The 19,875-nt window shown below is 47.1% G+C and overlaps 1 protein-coding gene and 1 long non-coding RNA gene across 7 annotated transcripts in view; one reads left to right on the forward strand and one right to left on the reverse strand.

Moving 5' to 3' along the window:
* The window catches only part of KCNN3 (potassium calcium-activated channel subfamily N member 3), a 172,827-nt gene that overhangs the window by 11,931 nt on the left and 141,021 nt on the right, over positions 1 to 19,875 (reverse strand). For all 5 annotated transcript variants that reach the window (NM_002249.6, NM_001204087.2, NM_170782.3 and 2 more), the window contains 3 exons: positions 16,531 to 16,641; positions 5,491 to 5,618; positions 4,079 to 4,148 (listed from right to left, as the gene is read on the reverse strand). In NM_002249.6, coding sequence (NP_002240.3) covers positions 4,079 to 4,148; positions 5,491 to 5,618; positions 16,531 to 16,641 — 309 coding nt within the window. The remainder of the gene's footprint in view (positions 1 to 4,078; positions 4,149 to 5,490; positions 5,619 to 16,530; positions 16,642 to 19,875) is intronic.
* LOC124904429 (uncharacterized) lies at positions 17,326 to 17,845 on the forward strand. Of its 2 annotated transcripts, none has more exons than XR_007066638.1 (2): positions 17,326 to 17,453; positions 17,707 to 17,845. It is a non-coding gene; the product is annotated as an uncharacterized LOC124904429 (long non-coding RNA). The 2 variants fall into 2 exon arrangements; XR_007066637.1 differs by having other exon boundaries at positions 17,326 to 17,449.

The following is a 19,875-nucleotide window of genomic DNA, read 5'->3' on the forward strand; positions in this document are numbered from 1 at the left end:
TTTCTGATGATCTGCCAGTGACACCCCGATCCTATTTCACGTGAAATTTCAGGTTACTCTAGGAAGATATGGACATGATTTATGCCCCAGGGACCAAAGCAGCAGCAAGTAAGGTGAGAGGAAAAAAGAAGAGTAAAAGAAGATGTGAGAAGCCAGAGAAGAATGAAGGGGAGCAGGGGCACAAAATGCAGTGAGGCCTCCCCAGCAGACTACAGGCCCCATGAGGAAATTCACTGGGGCAGCATAAGGAAAGGTCACAAGGTGGCATGGAGATGGCCCCGCTCCCATGAGCTCTGCTGTTGCCAGAGCAGGACACCGTGTCGTGGATGCCCTTGGAGGACAGGGTGACTTTAGAAGTGAAAGTACTCCCTTTATTAATCAACATGACAGAACCTCCTCGAGGCAAACATTCTTCCCGGAATGTGCAAAATCACCCATTTCATTTGACCGCAGGGGCACCCTGATGAGCTCTGGACTCAGAGTCCAGGCCCCTGGGTTGTGGCCCCCACGCTGGTGCTCACCAACTGCCTGACCGTGGGATGGTCACTTTGTTCCCTTGGATCTTGGTTTCCTCATCTATATTGATAATCAGAACTACCAATTGCAAAACCTTTATAGTTTACAAAGCATTTTCACAGATATCATCTTATTCGATCACCTGAGCCTCCGATGGTAGGAATTATTTTTATATTTCAATTGAAGTAATTGAAGCAATCGGGGAAAGACTCCAAGCCCTCCCAGCTCTGCCAGCCTATAGGACAGCAATTCAATACAGACGTAATATGTGGAGGCCACATGCCATATTCTTAATTTAGAGAGGACCAAAGGGCAGGAGTGGGAAGGCGCTGACTTGGGAGGCTACAGCACAAAGACAGAAAAGAGAGAGAACACAGCGTTATTGTCTCCCCCTGTTCCGTTGCTTGGTGACAGGATGCCAGGGGGAATATGGACCAGTGTGAAGTGTGCTAAGCTGCTGCCAGGACCTTGGGTGAGTCTCCTGGGAGGAAAAGATAAAGACTGGGCGAATGTCAGAGTTCATCTCCTCCCCAGATCTCCCCACGGGGGTTCTGCAGATTTTTCCCTTAACCCTTTCCTGCACACTCTTTCTTTCCAGGTAACTTGCTCCTGGGTTATTTACGGCTTAGTTCCCCCACCCAATTCACAGGAGTGTCTTTCCAGTTCACTGAGGGGTTCGCTTCACCCGGTCTGCTCCGTGGGCCCCATCTCTCCAAGAGGCCGTGGGTGGCACTGCAGAAATGCAGGCTTGAAAGTTTGGTTTGCCCAAAAGTGGGCGAAGGATATGAACAGACACTTCTCAAAAGAAGACATTTATGCAGCCAAAAAACACATGAAAAAATGCTCATGATCACTGGCCATCAGAGAAATGCAAATCAAAACCACAATGAGATACCATCTCATACCAGTTAGAATGGCAATCATTAAAAAGTCAGGAAACAACAGGTGCTGGAGAGGATGTGGAGAAATAGGAACACTTTTACACTGTTGGTGGGACTGTAAACTAGTTCAACCATTGTGGAAGTCAGTGTGGAGATTCCTCAGGGATCTAGAACTAGAAACACCATTTGACCCAGCCATCCCATTACTGGGTATATACCCAGAGGATTATAAATCATGCTGCTGTAAAGACACATGCACACGTATGTTTATTGTGGCACTATTCACAATAGCAAAGACTTGGAACCAACCCAAATGTCTGACAATGATAGACTGGATTAAGAAAATGTGGCACATATACACCATGGAATACTATGCAGCCATAAAAAATGATGAGTTCATGTCCTTTGTAGGGACATGGATGAAACTGGAAACCATCATTCTCAGCAAACTATCGCAAGGACAAAAAACCAAACACCGCATGTTCTCACTCATAGGTGGGAATTGAACAATGAGAACACATGGACACAGGAAGGGGAACATCACACTCCAGGGACTGTTGTGGGGTGGGGGGAGGGGGGAGGGATAGCATTAGGAGATATACCTAATGTTAAATGACGAGTTAATGGGTGCAGCACACCAACATGGCACATGTATACATATGTAACAAACCTGCACATTGTGCACATGTACCCTAAAACTTAAAGTGTAATAATAATAAAACTAAAAAAAAAAAAAAGAAAGTTTGGTTTGCCTCATGTCCCCAGGGAACATCAGTCACAGCATGTCCTGCAAGGTGAGAGGAGAAACAGGAAATACTGCTACTCATGGAAGAAACATCCTGGGGCAGTTTGTTGGGCTATTCCTGAAGCTCACAGGTGGGCCCCTAGCCCTGTTTGCTCCATATGACCCTCTTCCTGGCCAATGCTGATTGGTCCCAGGGTGGATACGTGGCCCAAATTGGCCAATCATTTCTTCTATTCTGAGAATTTAGAATTAAGACTAGTAGGGGGCCAATTAGTCTTTACCTGTGGCTAAAACTATTATATGTACTCTCTGAATTGGAGCCTGTTACAGTCTGTCGCGGGGACAGGAGGCAGAGAGGGAGAGAAAGAGAGGAAGAGAGAGGGAGAGGAAGAGAGAGACAGGGAAAGGGAGAGGAAGAGAGAGACAGGGAAAGGGAGAGGAAGAGAGAGACAGGGAGACGGAGAGGAAGAGAGACAGGGAGACGGAGAGGAAGAGAGAGACAGGGAAAGGGAGAGGAAGAGAGAGACAGGGAGAGGGAGAGAGAACTGAAGCAGTCACTTAAACAGAAGGACAGAGAAGAAATGGTGAGAGACCTCCTGGTTGTGGGGGCTTCCCAGGTCTAGTTCGAGTCAGTTCCTTCCTGCAGTCTGGCCACATGTCTCCTTTGAGGTTTTGCCTGGAATGAGACTCCCTTATATCCTTAGAATAGATTTCTCCATTTTTAAACCTAGTCCCAGCGGGTTTCTGATATTAAAACCAACACACCCAAAAACCTGAGGGAGTTCTCTCCTGCATGCCCACGTTCCACTCCCACCCCAGGCTCCTAGGAACCACCCTGCACTCCACGTGAACGCCCTCCTCCAAAGGCACGCGGGCCTGGAGGCTTCTCCCCAAATGTGCCAAGCCACTTACTCCCCGATTGAAGTCCTCACAGGTTTAGAAGGCCCTTTCTTTGGTTCAATCCCTTTATTAAACAAGGCACCTGCACGTGGCCCGACAACTAGTGATTTCTCTGATTGCACTCTTTTCAAAGGGTGCTTAATGTGCCTGAGGGAGTTTCTCTTGCTTACCCAGGGAATGTGTTCCATTATGATAATTGACATCTGCTGGAATGTTCTGCCAGCCTGGCCCTGGGCTGTACACTTAATATACAATTCCTATCAAGAGGCAATGAGGAGAGGGGGCTGAGGAGGGGGAGGCCCTTTCTTCAGTGGCACCGACTCTCAGCTCTGCCAGCAGTGTGGCCTTCGGCTCCCTCACCTGGGTGATTTGCAAGAGGAGTTTCCTTACAGTATTTATGGCAGCTCAGGGCCAGAAACAGAGTGGCAGAGTGATGGCGAGCCTTACACCCTAGGGCTCTCAAAAGAGGGCTCTCTTTTTGGGTATCTTCATGTTCCTTGTAGGCTATCTGCCTCTTGAGAAGTAAAGAAATGCACCCCCCCACACACACCACTGCCGCCAATTTGAGGCCAGCAAAACTAGTTGGTTAAGGACTGGAGGATGTACAAAAATGAACTTCCAAGTATTACAGCAAACCGGTGTGACCTGGGCAGTTACCATGGCCATCGTTACCGTCTGGTCCTTGCTAGCATGCTTCACAGCCGTGCAAACTCAAGCCCAACCTCAGGAGTCCCTCAATGTGCAGCTCATAAAATGACACGGAAAAGGTTTAGTCAGCTCATTAATTTCACGCAGAGACACACCTGAGCGATTTCACTTAAGAAACAAACACCAAGTTTCAAAAGCCCACAAGACATACCGGTAGATTGCAAATGAAACAAACTTGAGCCTAGGTATTTTTGAACCAAGCAGAAATTTTTCTTTGCTTGCCTGGTCCCGCGCTGTCCAGTGCGAACCCAGCCAGGACTCACAGGTGAGCCTGAGAAGACTCAGTGTCTGCGTGTTCTAGGGGATGTCTCCAGACACTGCCACTCACCTTGGAAAGGTCCACCAGAGTGTTGGCTTGGTCACTCAGCTTCCTCTGTTCCATCTTGACGCTCCTCAACCTGTGGGGAAGAATGGTAACAGGCAAGCCCTTCAAGTCCATGCAAAGGTTTAGCCCCACCAGCAGATCCTCCAGCCCTACCACTGCCTCTGATTTTGGAACCCAGCATGGGGACCGTGAACCTGGGGAACAACTGAGGCTTTTACTTTCCAGGGGCTTGTCACATCCCCCCAGAAAGCAAACTCTTGTCTCCACGCATGCTCACCTTCAGTCACTGGTTTCTTGCTATTCCCAGATCATTTCCCTGCCTCTATGCCTGGGCTGCACCTTCCATGTTGAGTGCCTTATTCTCAACTTTTCAGGGATTCCCCAAACCTCTCCATCAGAATGAATGTTTTCATCCTTTGCTTTTCCACTATACTTTTAAAAACTCCTCCATCACAGAAAGCATCAGCCACGGTTTGTTTTGATTTGAGTTGCAATGCATGGTGTGTGTGATGTGTGGTGTGTGCGGGGTGTGTGTGTGTGTGGTGTTTGTGTGTGGTGTGTATGGTGTGTGTGATGTGTGGTGTGTGCGGGGTGTGTGTGTGTGTGGTGTTTGTGTGTGGTGTTTGTGTGTGGTGTGTATGGTGTGTGTGATGTGGTGTGTGTGGGTTGTGTGTGTGGTGTTTGTGTGTGGTATGTATGGTGTGTGTGATGTGTGGTGTGTGGTGTGTGTGTGGTGTGTGTGTCGTATGTGGTGTGCATGGTGTGTGTGGGGTGTGTGCGGTGTGTATGGTGTGTGTGATGTGTGGTATGTGGTGTGTGTGGTGTGTGGTGTGTATGGTGTGTGTGTGGTTTGTGTGAGGTGTGTGTGTGTGGTGTTTGTGTGTGGTGTGTATGGTGTGTGTATGGTTTGTGTGAGGTGTGTGTGGGGTGTGTGTGTGTGGTGTTTGTGTGTGGTGTGTGGGATGTGTGGTGTGTGGGGGGTGTGTGTGTGGTGTTTGTGTGTGGTGTGTATGGTGTGTGTGTGGTTTGTGTGAGGTGTGTGTGGGGTGTGTGTGTGTGGTGTTTGTGTGTGGTGTGTGTGGGGTGTGTGTGTGTGGTGTGTGTGTGGTGTGTGTGTGTGGTGTGTATGGTGTGTGTGATGTGTGGTGTGTGGTGTGTGTGTGTGTGTGTGTGTGTGTGTGTGTGTGTAGAATGTGAAAGCTCTTAGAGGTTCTTACTCTAGTTTTTACCTTCCATAGCAGCCTGCCCAATTCCTGGCATGTGGCTGGTGCAGTCAGTGAGTGATCAGACCCAGTTCACCACTCCACTTGTTGAGTGGAACAGAATGGATTTCTTCTGTGCTACTGACAGAGTTGTAGGAGTCCCGCCACTCCCAGTCTGGTCATCTGATGGCTGAACCGCTCTGGCATACTCACTGGTGGATAGCTTGGAGGAACTTCCTCTGGTGTTTCCTCACTTTGGCATGGTCAATCTTCTTTAGCAGCTTTGTGTGTTTATAGATTAACCATGTTTCCCGAAGGACATTGGCTGCAGCATTCTTGATCTAAGGAAGAATAAATAAAGTAGGCTGCTATCAGGTTCATTTTCTTAGGTTCATTTTTGTGGTTGCTACTGTAGTCTACCTCATAAGGAAACGATTTTGCAATGATCTATTTTCTTAACCAAAATCACGGAACTCCTAGAAAAGATGATTAAGGCCGGGCACGGTGGCTCCCGCCTGTAATCTCAGAACTTTGGGAGGCCGAGGCGGGTGGATCACCTGAGGTCAGGAGTTCGAGACCAGCCTGGACAACATGGTGAAACCCGTCTCTACAAAAAATACAAACTTAGCCAGGTATGGTGGCACATGCCTGTAGTACCAGCTACTTTGGAGACTGAGGCAAGAGAATCGCTTGAACCTGGGAGGCAGAGGTTGCTGTGAGCTGAGATCACGCCATACTCCAGCCTTGGCAACAAGAGTGAAACTCCATCTCAAAAAAAAAAAAAAAAAGGAAAAAAAAAGGTGATTAAAATTCATCTGTTCTTAATCTTGTGTTGGACACTGCAGACCAGAGCTTGAAGTTGGAGGGTCTTTCTTTCTTTCTTTCTCTTTCTTTCTTCCTTTCTTTCTTTCTTTTTCTTTCTTTCTCTCTTTCTTTCTCCTTCCTTCCTTCCTTCTTTCTTTCTTCCTTCTTGATTATTTCAATACTATCTCTTGACTGCTGTTGCTGATGCTATATTTAGACAGGCTGCATGAGCGAGACCTTGAGTCCCGGGGTCCCCTTGGAAAATAGCTAGCGATATACCATTGCTGCCCTTACATGCAGACTTCCGAGCTTTGCCTGAGATTGCCACTTCGTGTATACGGTACATTGCTTGGGTTCAGAGAGTAAACAGATTTCCTATCAGCTGGAGATTTTAAAAGACTTCTTTGAGAAAATGTCTTTCCCACTGATTGGAACTATAGGTACCAACGAGCCCATTGTCTCCTTTCCCAAATGGCCAAAAACATTTGCACTGCAATTGTACATGTAAATGTAATTGGCACAAAAAAGAAATAATTTCAGAGCAATGTCTGAAAATCAGTGAAGATATTTAGGTGTGAAACCAGAGCTTCCTCTTCCCCAGGGCTGGCTCCTTCACTGTGCACTGCAATCACACGTTTCAACATATGACGCTGTCATCCATTGACATGGAAACCACTGATATCACCAGGCTCATGACTGAGCTGAGACATATCAATGGCATCCAGATGGCAGGGGACAAAGTTTTAATCCAAACACAGACATCTTCAGCAATTAGTAACAAGAGCAACAGAAAACATTCCTTATTAAGCACATGCTAAGCAGATTTTTGATTAACCATCCCCATTTCTGTCAGCCATGCAGACTGGCATGTGTCCACAGGCCTGGGGCCTGGAAATAAGTAGGCCAGCCTAATAGAAATCAGGTTACTAGCCAGAAAGGATTTTAATAAAATTAGAGAATATAGACCTGCTTCTTCAGACTGACATCAACAGATGGGATGTTGTTAAAATACTGAGATGTGTGGGAAGCCTAGGAAACATTGTTTTGCAGGCTGATAACTTTTGTGTGTGTATGTTTTAAAAATTTATTACTAAGGCTGGATTATATTTTTCATTGGCGCTGAAGTGATGTTTTTAAAAGAACAGCTAAGTCTTCTCAGAAATGTCTAAGGGACATAAATATTGCTTTTTAAAAATTCAGTAAAGATCTGCTGTGAAAATAGTTTTAAATGACTTAACTGCCCACCTCTAGTACTTTCTTGCCTGAAAGGAAGCAGGTTGTGGTGGAAAGTTGGAAACGGTGGATGTCCAGGAGAGGACACTGTGGTCTCTGGGCTTCTGCTCAGGGAACTAGAGTGAACAGCAGCCTCCTGGCAAAAAAGGCGGCACGGAAGGGAAGCCTTGCTCTCTGCAGAGCACACATTTAATACTACTGCCCTCCTCTTGCAGGGAGAGGAGGCAATTGGATGTGTCATTTCTTCAGTTTCCCTACGCACTTAGCCTCTTAGGAAAGCCTCAAGGAAACTGGAAAGTCTGCAGGTGAATCCCTGCTCTGTCAATTATTAAGCAGTTTAGGAGCAAATGCTTCATTATCTGTAAGATGGGAAAAATAAAGAGGGCTGCTATGAGGCAGTGATGATGGTGCTGGGGGCAACACTTAACATCTACCAGGTGCAGCCACAGGTCTGAGTACTTCATATGTCTAAGCTCCTTTAATCCTCACCACAACCCCATCAGGGAGGTGCTAACATTATCCACATTTTACAGATGAAGAAACCAAGACACAGACCAAGACTAGACAATTATTAATGGCAAACTGAGTCAGTGTGGGTGTGAATGCTACATAAAATGTAAAGTACCATACAGATATTAGTTAATATTATCTAGCTCAAACCCCTCATTGAACATACGAGGAAACCACTTCAGAGATGGGATGTGAGAGCCAGAATCACACAGCTAGCTAATGGCAAAGTCAAAACAAGAGCCACGTCCAGGAAGAGCAGAAGGTTTTCATGTGGACTGAAGGAAAGACAAACAAAATCATTTCCTGTTTTCCAGGATCAAGGAACTGGAAAGAGCACTGGATTTTTTTTTTTTTTAAATCATCATGGCCCTCACTTAGCAATGTGACAGAACACGGAGTCCAGGTCCTGCACTTAACGTCAGCCCAAATGTAAGATACTGAAGTCACAGCACGGCCCGGGTAGCTGAGAGAGGCAGTCACATCATCTTTATGAGTTTGGAGGGAGGCCTCCGTGCATTCGGGAAAGTGATGTTAACTGCCAGCCCTTGCACTGACTCTGAAATTAATTACCAGCAAACAGCCTGGCACAAAGCTAAGTAGATCAATATCTGCGAGAGAAAAAGAAATAGGCTTTTAACTGCACTGTGCTTTCCCAGGTGGACAGTAAATGCTATTGTGGCCAGGGTCTCCCTCCAGTTCACCTGGCTGATTGATCTAAGCATTGTTGGGGTCGGGAGCACATGAGGTCATGTGCCCTTCCTCAGATTTGCCGAGCCTCCAAAGGGCTCCATGCACCCTTCCTTGAGGGAGGCTTGGGTACCACCTGACCTCTCCTGGTGGGCAGAGGCACCAGGGCCAAAAGATGCTCTCAGGGTGCAGCAGTGCGAGAGGGCAGGGCTTAAGATGAAAGCAGCAAGCCAGAAAGAGTGGCTCAAGGTTGGCCACAATCGGATGGGTTTGGGGATGGTTAGGAGAGGACCCTTTGTGAATGGAAGTCCAGCTGTCCTGCCTCCAAAACCCATAAACAAATTGGCTGATTGTTTTCTGCAAGCCCAAAAACTCTCTACCAAAAAATTGCTTTCACTCTGATTGGGGCCAGACAATGGGCTCTATGATCTACTTTAGGAAAGGCTCTAAGATTAATGGGCCTGGGCAAGAAAGTGGTCCAATGAAGACCTTGCAAATTATGGTGACAGCTAACATATACTGAGTGCTTACTACGTGCCAGGCTTTGTGCTAAGCACATATGTCTGCACTGGTTCATTAACCCTCAGAAAAACTTGATAAATAGACGTGATCATCAGCTCCACCTTGGACCCACTGCTGAACTCTCTGAGACTCTCTTTGTTCATACATTTGAGGAACAATTAATGAGCACCTATGATGGGCCAGACATTGTTGTAGCAAGTGACGGTACCACAGTGAACAAATCAATAACATTGCTGCGCTTACGGAACTTACAATCCTGCGGAGAAGACGGTATGCAGTTTGTATGATAGCATCAGGTAACAAGCGCTTAAAAAACCACAACAACAAAGCAGGGTCCAGGGCTAGAGAGTGATGCAAGTACTACCTGCATCTGTGAAATGGGATTACTGTGTTGATTAAATGAGAATATACTTAAAACATTAGCACAGATCCTGGCCATATGCCTCAATACATGGTACCTTTGTTAATATTCTCTCCTTCCAATAAATGTCAGCTTCCTTCCCTCTAACTTCCCCAGCCAGCAAGAAAACATACAACAGAACACACACCTCTTCCTTGAGCTCTTGGCCGCAGCATCCCATGTCAATGACTTGCTCTGGCCACCTCTCTGCCCAGGTAACCTGCTACTTGCTATTACAGAGGGGCTGTCGGTTGCGGCAAGAATGCTTGGGGCAGGAGTACAAGGGGGATGAAAGGAGCACCTTTCTTGGGCACCCTAAGCCTCCAGCAGCCCCAGGAGCCCTGGGAAATTCCAGGGGTCCCATTAGCAGAGCCCCCCAGAGAAGAAATCACTAGCATGCCCATTATGCTGCCAGGAACCCTTGCCAGGGAAGTATTCTACTTGGAGGTTGGAGACGGGGAAAGGGAGGCCTGGCCGGTGGGTGTGATTTAAATACACACATCTTGGACAATTTCTTCAGTGTGTGAACATCACAGAGTGTACTTAAACAAACCTAGATGGGACAGCCTACTACACACCTAGGCTGTATGGTATAGCCTATCGCTCCTAGGCTACAAGCCTGTATGGCACATTCCTGTACTGTAGGCCACTGTAACACAAATCACTAGGGGAGAGGAATTTTTCAGCTCTGTTATAGCCTTCTGAGACCACCTTGGTATATGTGCACCATCATTGACTGAAACTTGTTATGCAGTGCATGACTGTAACTTCAAGGAGTTACACAGGTTGAAATTAGGCTGAGTGATGATCAGATCACTATCGGAGAACCTGCAAGCCAGCCCTTGACTGAAGGTGTCCATTACACACAGGACTAGAGAAGGGGGCTGGTTCCTCTTTCCCATTTGCCAAGCCCACTCTCCCCTCATCACCACCCTGCAGACTTGCTCTGGCTTCCCCGGCTGCCCTCTCTTTCATCACCCTGCTTGCACCTCCTCTTTTTCCTCCCCCTGTTCTATTCCACACTCCCTTTACAGGCTTCTCTGCCTGCCTCACCCAGAGGCCCTCACTGACCACTTAGAACTGGGAGCTCCACCTCTCTGGCTGGCAGGAAATTGGGTAGAGAGAGAGGAGGTGTATTTCCGTTGTTCAGAGTTGGAGCTTGAGGTTCTCCCTGTAGCAATATGGTAATGGGTGGTGGATAATTCTATAATGCTATTTATGTGATACTCAGTTAGGGTGGAGTTAAGCTGGCTTTTCTTTTCAGCAGGTCTGGGACCCTAACCCCATGCTGAGTTCCAAGGAACTGACCGCCCTAAAGCTGCCTGCCTGATGGTCTGAGAGCAAAGTGGATCTTGCATAGGCCGGGGGCCCACCCTCGCCCCTTTCTGGGCCTTCGTCTTCTCATGTGGGTTGGAGTGGCTCTTCCCTAAGGGTCCTTCCAGCTTAAACGCACATTGTTTCTGTGACTATTGCTAAAGAAAACCTGCACCCAATCTGTCTGGGACAGAACCTTGTGCGTGATGTAATTTATAATCCTCTTCTGGGGAGAATTAGCATTCCTGATAACTGCCCTATTGATTATCTGATCCATTGTAAAGACTTGAAGACTTGTTCTGGAAATCCACTGTTGAGCCCAACCAGCTGTCCATTAGCAGTCTTTAGCTAAACCTTCTATAATCTGGCATAACAATGACTACCATTGTTTTTCCTACGAAATACCACTACTAAGAGTAATCTTTGAATTAGCCTGCTGAAGAAAATTTTCTTCTAGCAAGATTATGATCAAACTTTGGCATATGCTTGTAATTAAAGAAAAGTTTTCTTCAGTGTCATTCAGGAGATAGTAGGTGGGGAAACTACTTAAAGGTTTTTGAGCAGGAAGTAATTTGTTCAGAGCTAAGCCTGAGAGTCTAAGGAGATCCATGGGGAAGCAGAGTGCAGGATGACTGGGGTAAGGGACGCCGAAGTGAGGAGAGCAGGTAGCAGGCTGCTGTGATAGTGCGAGACAGAAGATGGCGGCTTCAAGAGTGGCGGGGCCGAGGCCCTGGAGAGGCGGGCATGCGTGAACAGCCACGGCAAGGTGAAATCAGACACAGAAAGTGCTCAGACCCTCGTGGGGTCCAGGGTCCAGAGGAGTCAGAAATGGGGCTAAGTCTTTAGGCCTGGCGTCTGGAAGAACACGATGTCAGGAGCACACCAGGGAAGTTAGGAGAAGGAAATAGTTTAGGGAAGTTGTGGGTTTAATTTTGGTCTTATTCATTGAATTCATGGGGAAGTGTACTTGGGTGAGCTACTTGGGGCAAGAAACCCCTGCAGCAAGAAGGAGATAGGATCCTTAGCACACTGTGCTGTCTGAAGGTTCTGCTCACTGTGGCTTGATGTGGAGAGTAGGTACCGCAAAGAAAATATCTCCGGTCCATGGTGCCTCCCAAGCCAAGTGTGTCCATAGCAGCCCACTCTGCCTTTTTTTTCTTTTTCTTTCCTTTTTTTTTTTTTTTTGAGATGGAGTCTCACTCTGTCACCCAGGCTGGAGTGCAGTGGCACGATCTCAGCTCACTGTAACCTCCGCCTCCTGGGTTCAAGCAATTCTCCTGCCTCAGCCTCCCGAGAAGCTGGGATTACAGGCACCCACCACCATGCCCGGCTAATTTTTTGTATTTTTAGTAGAGACGGGGTTTCACCATGTTCGCCAGGCTAGTCTTGAACTCCTGACCTCAAGTGATCCGCCCACGTCGGCCTCGCAAAGTGCTGGGATTACAGGCGTGAGCCACCGCACCCGGCCCACTCTACCTCTTATAAGAAGAAGTGCTCTCTGAGGGCAGTCAGCCACCAGAGGTTAGGGATGGAGGTGAGGACCACCTCTTACCCATCTTGGTGCCCCCAGAGTACAGAGTGTGGCACCCAGGGAGTGGCCTCTGTGATGGATCTGTTTAGCTACATAAAACAGAAAGATGGGGACATGAAAACACTAAGTGGCAGAAAAGATGGGGCTCTAGTATCTTTCTTCCAGTCCCTCTGTGAATCATGTACTTAAATATTATCTAGTAGCCCAGAGATTAGCAATAAGTTATAATTACAGAATAACAATGGCAGTGACACTGCGAAGTCAGTGTGGGAAGATCTGATTGAATTAAATACAGAAATGACGTTGCCACCAGAGTTGATAAGTCATACGAGGAAAGAAGATAAGCATGGGACTCAAGAAAAGCAGAAATTGAGTTCTTACCCAGTGCTATCAGACCCTCTTCCCTCCCTACAAACAAATAAATAAAAATAGTGCTGGCTCTCATGGCAAAGGCTAGGCTGCAGTCTTTAGAGCAAGACAGGATGAATAAATACTAGAACAATTTGAGTATTTTCTATGATTAATAGCTACAATTCCTTTTTTCGTTTTGCGTAGGTCTTTGAAGCATCAAGGTTGCATATACCGGTAAGAGACTGCTTTTATCTGTCAAATCTACTAATTGCCCACTCCGAAGAGGTTGCAATTATGCCACAGTCAACTCCTTCATGTTGGATCTTTCTCTGAGAATTCACTGAGATGTTATGAATAGACTGAGCTTAGCATTTTTTTTTTTTTTTTTTTTGAGATGGAGTCTCGCTCAGTTGCCCAGGCTGGAGTGCAGTGGCACGATCTCGGCTCACTGCAACTTTCGCCTCCCAGGTTGAAGCGATTCTCCTGCCTCAGTCTCCCGAGTACCTGGGGCTACAGGCACGTGCCACTACGCCCGGCTAATTTTTTTGGATTTTTTTTTAGTAGAGACAGCGTTTCACTGTGTTAGCCAGGAAGGTCTCAATCTCCTGACCTCCTGAGCCATCTGCCTCGGCCTCCCAGAGTGCTGGCATTACAGGCATGAGCCACCGCGCCCGGCCAAGAGCTTCTAAGGATCATGTCTGAGAGTGAGTATTTCTTTTTTTTTTTTTCTTTTTTTTGACAGAGTCTTGCTCTGTTGCCCAGGCTGGAGTGCAGTGGTGGGATCTCGGCTCACTGTAAACTCTGCCTCCCAGATTCAAGCGATTCTCCTGCCTCAGCCTCCTGAGTAGCTGGGATTACAGGTGTGTGCCACCACGCCCCACTAATTTTTGTATTTTTAGTAGAGTCAGGGTTTCACCATGTTGGTCAGGCTAGTCTCGAACTCCTGACCTCATGATCCACCCACCTCGGCCTCCCAAAGTGATGGGATTACAGGCGTGAGCCACCGCACCCGGCTGCTTAGCATCTTCTTGACCAATGAGCCACTCCAGCTTGATACAATGGACCATTTCAAGAGGACAGAAGGCAGGCCAGGCATCCCCAGGGGAAGAGAGGTGGGGTTCTCTTGTGAGCAGGTCAAAGTCAGCTCAAACCAGAGCAGGCCAAGGATGCACACATCCAGTTTCATTTCAATTAAGGTTATGTAAAAGAACCTTCAGAAGTTCTAGTCCTGCCAGCTTTGAAAACCTTCTCTCTGTAAGAACCATCCCTTCTGTGTTGTTTATTTCCTTGAGAAAAGATATTAGATATTAAAGAGACATTTCAACAGATTTAAGTGTTCTCAGAAAAGTGAGATGTTATTCGATTAAAAAGCTACCTTAGATTCATGGGTGAGCAATAAATATTTGTTGATTTGATTTTCAGTCCTACTTTTCAAGAAGTGGAATTGAGGAGGATGTTAGGGAATCATTTTTGAAAGATTAAAATTAGCAACCACAGTCTCATCTTCTACAATTATATTGCAGAAAAATTGTTTATTTTCCTGGCATACAAAGGAGCTGGCTTTCCTCAGCTTTATTTTCCTCTAGCGTCTGATCTACTTGGTGAAAAATGGAGAGGACAAAGGAATAACACCAAATACAAAGAATATTCTTGGCTTAAAAAAGAAAACCAGAATAAACAGAGAGACTGCTAATGTCTCTACTCTTGGTAAACAGCTTATGAGAAGGCTTTGGAGGCAAAACATCTCCCTGCCCTCACTCCGGCACGTAGTTTCAATCCAGTGAAACCTCAGTAAATTGCTTCAGGAAAATAGATGCAAGTGGATTTGCATTTAGGTGTTTCAATAACTTGAATAATTTCCTCAATACTGAGCATGACTTTTGCACCCATTATTAGAGGGGGCTGAAAGAGAGTGGCCAAGTGGCAGGGTTCCCGGCAGGCCTTACTGTGATAACAGCCTTCAATCACTGCCATCGTGATGTGACAAATCATGGCTTTTTTTGGTGCAGCTGATAGCTCAGGGCCATGATGTATCAAGTACAAACACTTGAATGTCAACAACATAAGAATATTTGCCCGTACCAGTTCCTTTTAATGTCTGTTAAGGCTCTTTACAGAATCCAATAAATGTAATCAAAGACCAAACAATCAAACACCATAAATAATTCTGCTGAGAAACTGGAGAGGCCTTGGCCGCTGCACACTCTCCCACTGCCTTCCCCAAGAGCTCGCTCGCAGCTCCCTCTGTCATTCTCTCTCTCTCTCTTTTTGTTCTTCCTTCCTGCCGTTGTCTCTATTTCTAACACATTTTTGCTGCTGTGCAACATTAATCACTGAATATTTTCTCTAGCTTTCAAAAACCCAAATCAAAATTTGGTTGCTCATGGGTCCCTTAACCTACTTCAGTCCTAAATGAAAAAGACTATGGAGGCCGAGACACGGGCACAGGGTTTTAATTCTGTCTCGTCTCAGAAAGAGGACAGTCTTGCAGGAAATCATCTTACTGACCTTCCTTCAGGCTGTAGTTCTAAAGAATTTTCCATAAAAGCTGTCCTTGAATAAACAGCTCCTGCCTTGCCCATTTGGCCTGCTGTTATTCTGGAAGGCTTGTATCTGTCTATTCTAAATGGGTCTTTTCATCTCAGACAATTCAGTGGGGTGTCCAACTTTCAGCAGCTAAATGGTCTACCCATTCCTGCATATTTTCAGATTTTCATCTTCCATAACCACTTCCATAATGGTTCAAGTGAGAAACATTACCCGGAAAACCCAAAAGGGAAAAATTGGATGATGATGTTTTGATGAACAATTTTATTTAGGGATGTGGGCTCTACTAGAATGATTCTTTTTTTTTTTTTTTGAGATGGAGTCTTGCTCTGTCGCCCAGGCTGGAGTGCAGTGGCGCGATCTCGGTTCACTGCAACCTCCGCTTCCTGGGTTCAAGTGATTCTCCTGCCTCAGCCTCCTGAGTAGCTGGGATTACAGGTGACTGCCACCACACCCAGCTAATTTTTGTATTTTTAGTAGAGACGGGGTTTCACATGTTGGCCAGGATGGTCTCGATCTCTTGACCTCATGCTCCGCCCGCCTCGGCCTCCCAAAGTGCTGGGATTACAGGCGTGAGCCGCCGCTCCCAGCATAGAATGATTCTTTAAATGATTTTTTTTAAAGGATTAGACTTAGGTACATTTTCAATATACTTTTATAGTTTTAGGTATATTTTCAATATAGTTTTGCCCTTCCTAATGAGAATCCTGAAAATATTTGAGCATAAACAAAAAACATTGCCTCATACCGTGATTTATTTGGTATCATCAGGCAAAGGGGCAGGTTATACCATTGTAGGCTATTAATTAAATTACCAGGAAAATTATTTGGCTGCCTGAACCATGCACAGTGATCGAACAGAAGACAGGAACCCGGCGTATGAAGGTGCTGTTTCCATTTTGTGTCTGGGGTTCCCTCAAACACACCCTTTAAAAGCCTGGTGCAAACCCATACGACATGACCATTTGCTTCCTTCCTTCCTTCTTTTTTTTTTTTTTTTGAGATGGAATCTCTCTCTGTCACCCAGGCTGGAGTGCAGTAGTGCGATCTCGGCTCACTGCAACCTCCGCCTCCCAGGTTCAAGCAATTCTCTTGCCTCAGCCTCCTGAGTAGCTGGGACTACAGGTGTGTGCCACCATGCCCAGCTAATTTTCTGTATTTTTAGTAGAGATGGGGTTTCAACGTATTAGCCAGGATGGTCTTGATCTCCTGACCTTGTGATCGACCCTCCTCAGCCTCCTAAAGTGTTGGGATTACAGGCGTGAGCCACTGCACCCGTTGGACCATTTGCTTTCTGATTGGCTTCCACTGTGGCCTTAAGTCCCCCATAAGACATGGCTGTGTGGCATCTTACCCGCTTGGTGAGCTGAGTGTCCATCATGAAGTTATGAACGTGCTTCTCCGCTTTGGTGAGTTCCAGCTTTCGGGCCACCACGGCCACCACAAGGGCAGTGCAGCCTGCACCCTGCGGGGGGACATCAAGAGGACCAGAGGGGAAAGAACATATCATTAAGAGGCAAGATGAGAGACTCAACACGCCTGGCGGCCACGGGGGTAATTTCCTGGGAGTGGAGTGGGAACTTGAGCTCTCTGGCTGGTCACGACCAAGCCACAAAAATCTGTTGAAATCTGTCAGGACTCTGATGTCCTGACCCACAGAGGGGTCTGCAGTGCCTCTTGGGTTGTGCTCTGCAGCTGACCTCTGGGAGGCTGAGCTAGCCAGTTTCAATGGAGAAGGATGCTGGGTGGCGCCGAGGCTTTGGGGGGTTTAACCAACAACTAAGCACCTGGTCAGCTGCCAAGCTGTGCAGCGGAAGACAGAGGGGCCAGCACACACGGGCCCTCTCTCCCTCAGGCAGGTCTCCATCCCACTGCCAGCTCTAGACCAGCAGGCCTGGGAGGAAAGAAGGTAGGCCATCAGCTGGGGTGCAGATGGAACACCTGCCAGTGGCTGAGAGTGTTCCTGAAAATAATCGAATGAAGAGGCAATACCTTTCCCCAGGGCTTGTTTCACAGAGGGCACCCAGGTTGGCACGAACACGTGCACTCAGTGACTGTGCCTGCTCTACACTTGGGCTTTTTCACCTCAAGGTTTACGCTATGACTCAGCACAAGGAATCGGTTCCTTCCTGCCTTCACCAGGAGGCTCATGAATTCACCGTCATGCAGAGATTTTAAAGACAACACCACTTCTGCTGGATCAAAACCGGGATTTTAAGTGAGCCCGCAGCAGACCCTTGGGATTTTCTGGAACAGCGATCCTAGTCTGCTCGGTAGGTCCGTGCCAGGGGAGCCCGGGGGAGGGTGGGCAAGGAAGCAGGCTCTGCTGAGCCCCCAGAATGGTGGGACTCACTTTCTCTCTCCTAATCCTCTGGGTGCATACTTGACTGTCTGGGAAATAAGCAGGGAATTCCCTGCACATTCCAACATTCTCCCAATGCATTTTAAAATCCTCTTCGCTAGGCTTCTTGGTTGGCTTGTGAGCATAGGGGGAATTCAGAGACTCACTACTCCCCTGGCTCTTCGGCAGGCAGCGGGAGTCAGCTCCATCCTTCTGCAAGCGGACTCCCGTCAGAGACCATCGCCCTCTGCCTGCATGCTGTGCCCTGCGCCGCCCTGACCACCACTCATGGAAAGAGATGATGAACTTATTAAAGCCAACAACCGAATCCTGTATGTCAAACAGTAATTCTAGTTGCCACAGAACCCAGTCTAGCAGTTGAGGTCCCAGAATGGAAGGAATCTGTCAGTAACATTTTTGGCTCATCAGGTCTTACAAAATGTGTGAGAAGCAGAAAAGAATGTTTTTCAAAGGTACTATAATCTATAACCGACTTGGAAGGAATGCATATGGGTGGATCCATTCCCTACTCTCTCTTTTAGAAGCTATTTCTCTCTTTATCCCACAGGCTGACAAAGGCTAGCCTGTGTGAAGTTTCAATGTGGTTGAAGTTCACAATGCTTTCTCCTCGTTTCCCACAAGGGTCCCCATTAAAACAATCTAGTGTTTCTCAGTACATTTGTTGGCCTTGTCACAAAGTGAAAAGAACCAAGTCTGTGTGAACTTTCCTTTTCTGACCTCATTTTCCTCTTTTGTTCGAGGACGGCTGTGTTTTTTCAGCTTCTGTGACTTACAGGAGACTCTGTGCCCAATTTTCAAAGGATCTGGGCAGTTGCACAGCCTGGTCTGTAGCTGTAATCAATTTAGCCATGCCTCCAAAAGCAAAAAATAGCTTAAAAGAAGCCATCCTAGAGGGAAGATGTGTGCTCCCTTCCCCTCGACCGGACGGAGTATCATCCCTCTCCTTTATATGGAGTTCCAAAAGTACTTTGGGCTGAAAGCCCAAAAAGAGGGCTATATCATAGCGTTAAAAATGGAACATCAGATGGAGAGGGTTCTCCCCAGGTTCCATTCTCCCTCCTCTCGCTAGGCCCAGGCAAAACTCTACTTAAATCATCCCTGAAAGCTGGGGTCCAATAGGCCTGAAGAGGGAGCTTCCCTGTTCCATGCTATTTTGGGAATGTAATCACAACAATCAATCATCCACCATTCCAAATTTCCAGGGTCTAGATGGGGTGTTTCACAGCGCTTGCCATGGCCCACATTTTAGCTGGCTGATTGCAGGGGGGGCTTTTAATGAGAAGCTAGAGTGTTTTATCTAATGAACCACCTGTCTCACATGATGAAGATAAATTTCTCTCTGGAGGCAGGACAGTGGACTAGATGACACTTCCCAGTTTCTTTCAACATAGAGATGTTATGACTCCCTTGTGAGTATTCCTCTAGAGGATGCTGCATTCTTAACCCTTAATTCCAACTTAAATGGATGCTCTCAGCTTCATTTTTCCATTGACTGGATGTAATTAGGGCAGTCACCAGTAATGACACCTAACCTGGTCTTTTCCATTAAGAGGCAACCTAATAAAGATGGGGCCAGACATCAGCAGCCTTCATAAAGTGGTGGAGGAATCCTGAAGCCTAGACTGCTGAGCCTCTGCAGACTGTGCGGGGTGCGGGGCGGGAAAATGAAGAAGGGAGAGAAGACAATAGAACAGGAGGGGAGGGGAGGAGAGAGGAGAAAAGAGAAGAGAAGAGGAGAAAAGAGAAGAGAAGAGAAGAGAAGGTGGGTGCAGGGAGAGGTAAAGCTGGGCAGAAAATGAGATGGGGAACAAGTTGCGTTGCATCCTAAACAGCAAGGGTCAAGGGGGGAAAGAGAGAAGGAGGAGGCTGAAGAATAAGAAAAAATGATGGGCTGATGGGATTGAGAGAGGAAGGAAGAACAAGGAGCCTAAGGCTTGAGCCAGAAGTCAATGGTCCATTTTGGCCCTTTAGAGGACATGAAGGAAGTGCCAAGGGATCCCACCCTGCTGTGTCCATCTTCAAGTGGTATAAGGATTGCCTGTCCCCTGGGTCCCCTTTGGGATGCTGGGCCCTTTCACTTAGGTGAGTTAATAGTCTGACAGGCCACAGTGGCAGCCTGGCAGTGCTGTGTCACATGGCAGTGATGCAGGTTAGTTTTAAGAGACAAATCACCGAGGGCCTGGCTAACTGTGGAATCTTTGAAATGGCTGGTGGGTAGAGGGGGTGTGTGAGGAGGGAGGAAGCAGGATGGGAAAGGGTAAACAGCTGCTGCTATGACTTCCCTGGGGTCAGACTGGGGGGAAGAGCCATGACTCAGCCTTTTGCTTTCAGATATGC

Source organism: Homo sapiens, chromosome 1, assembly GCF_000001405.40.
Source record: "Homo sapiens chromosome 1, GRCh38.p14 Primary Assembly".
NCBI lineage: Eukaryota > Metazoa > Chordata > Mammalia > Primates > Hominidae > Homo > Homo sapiens.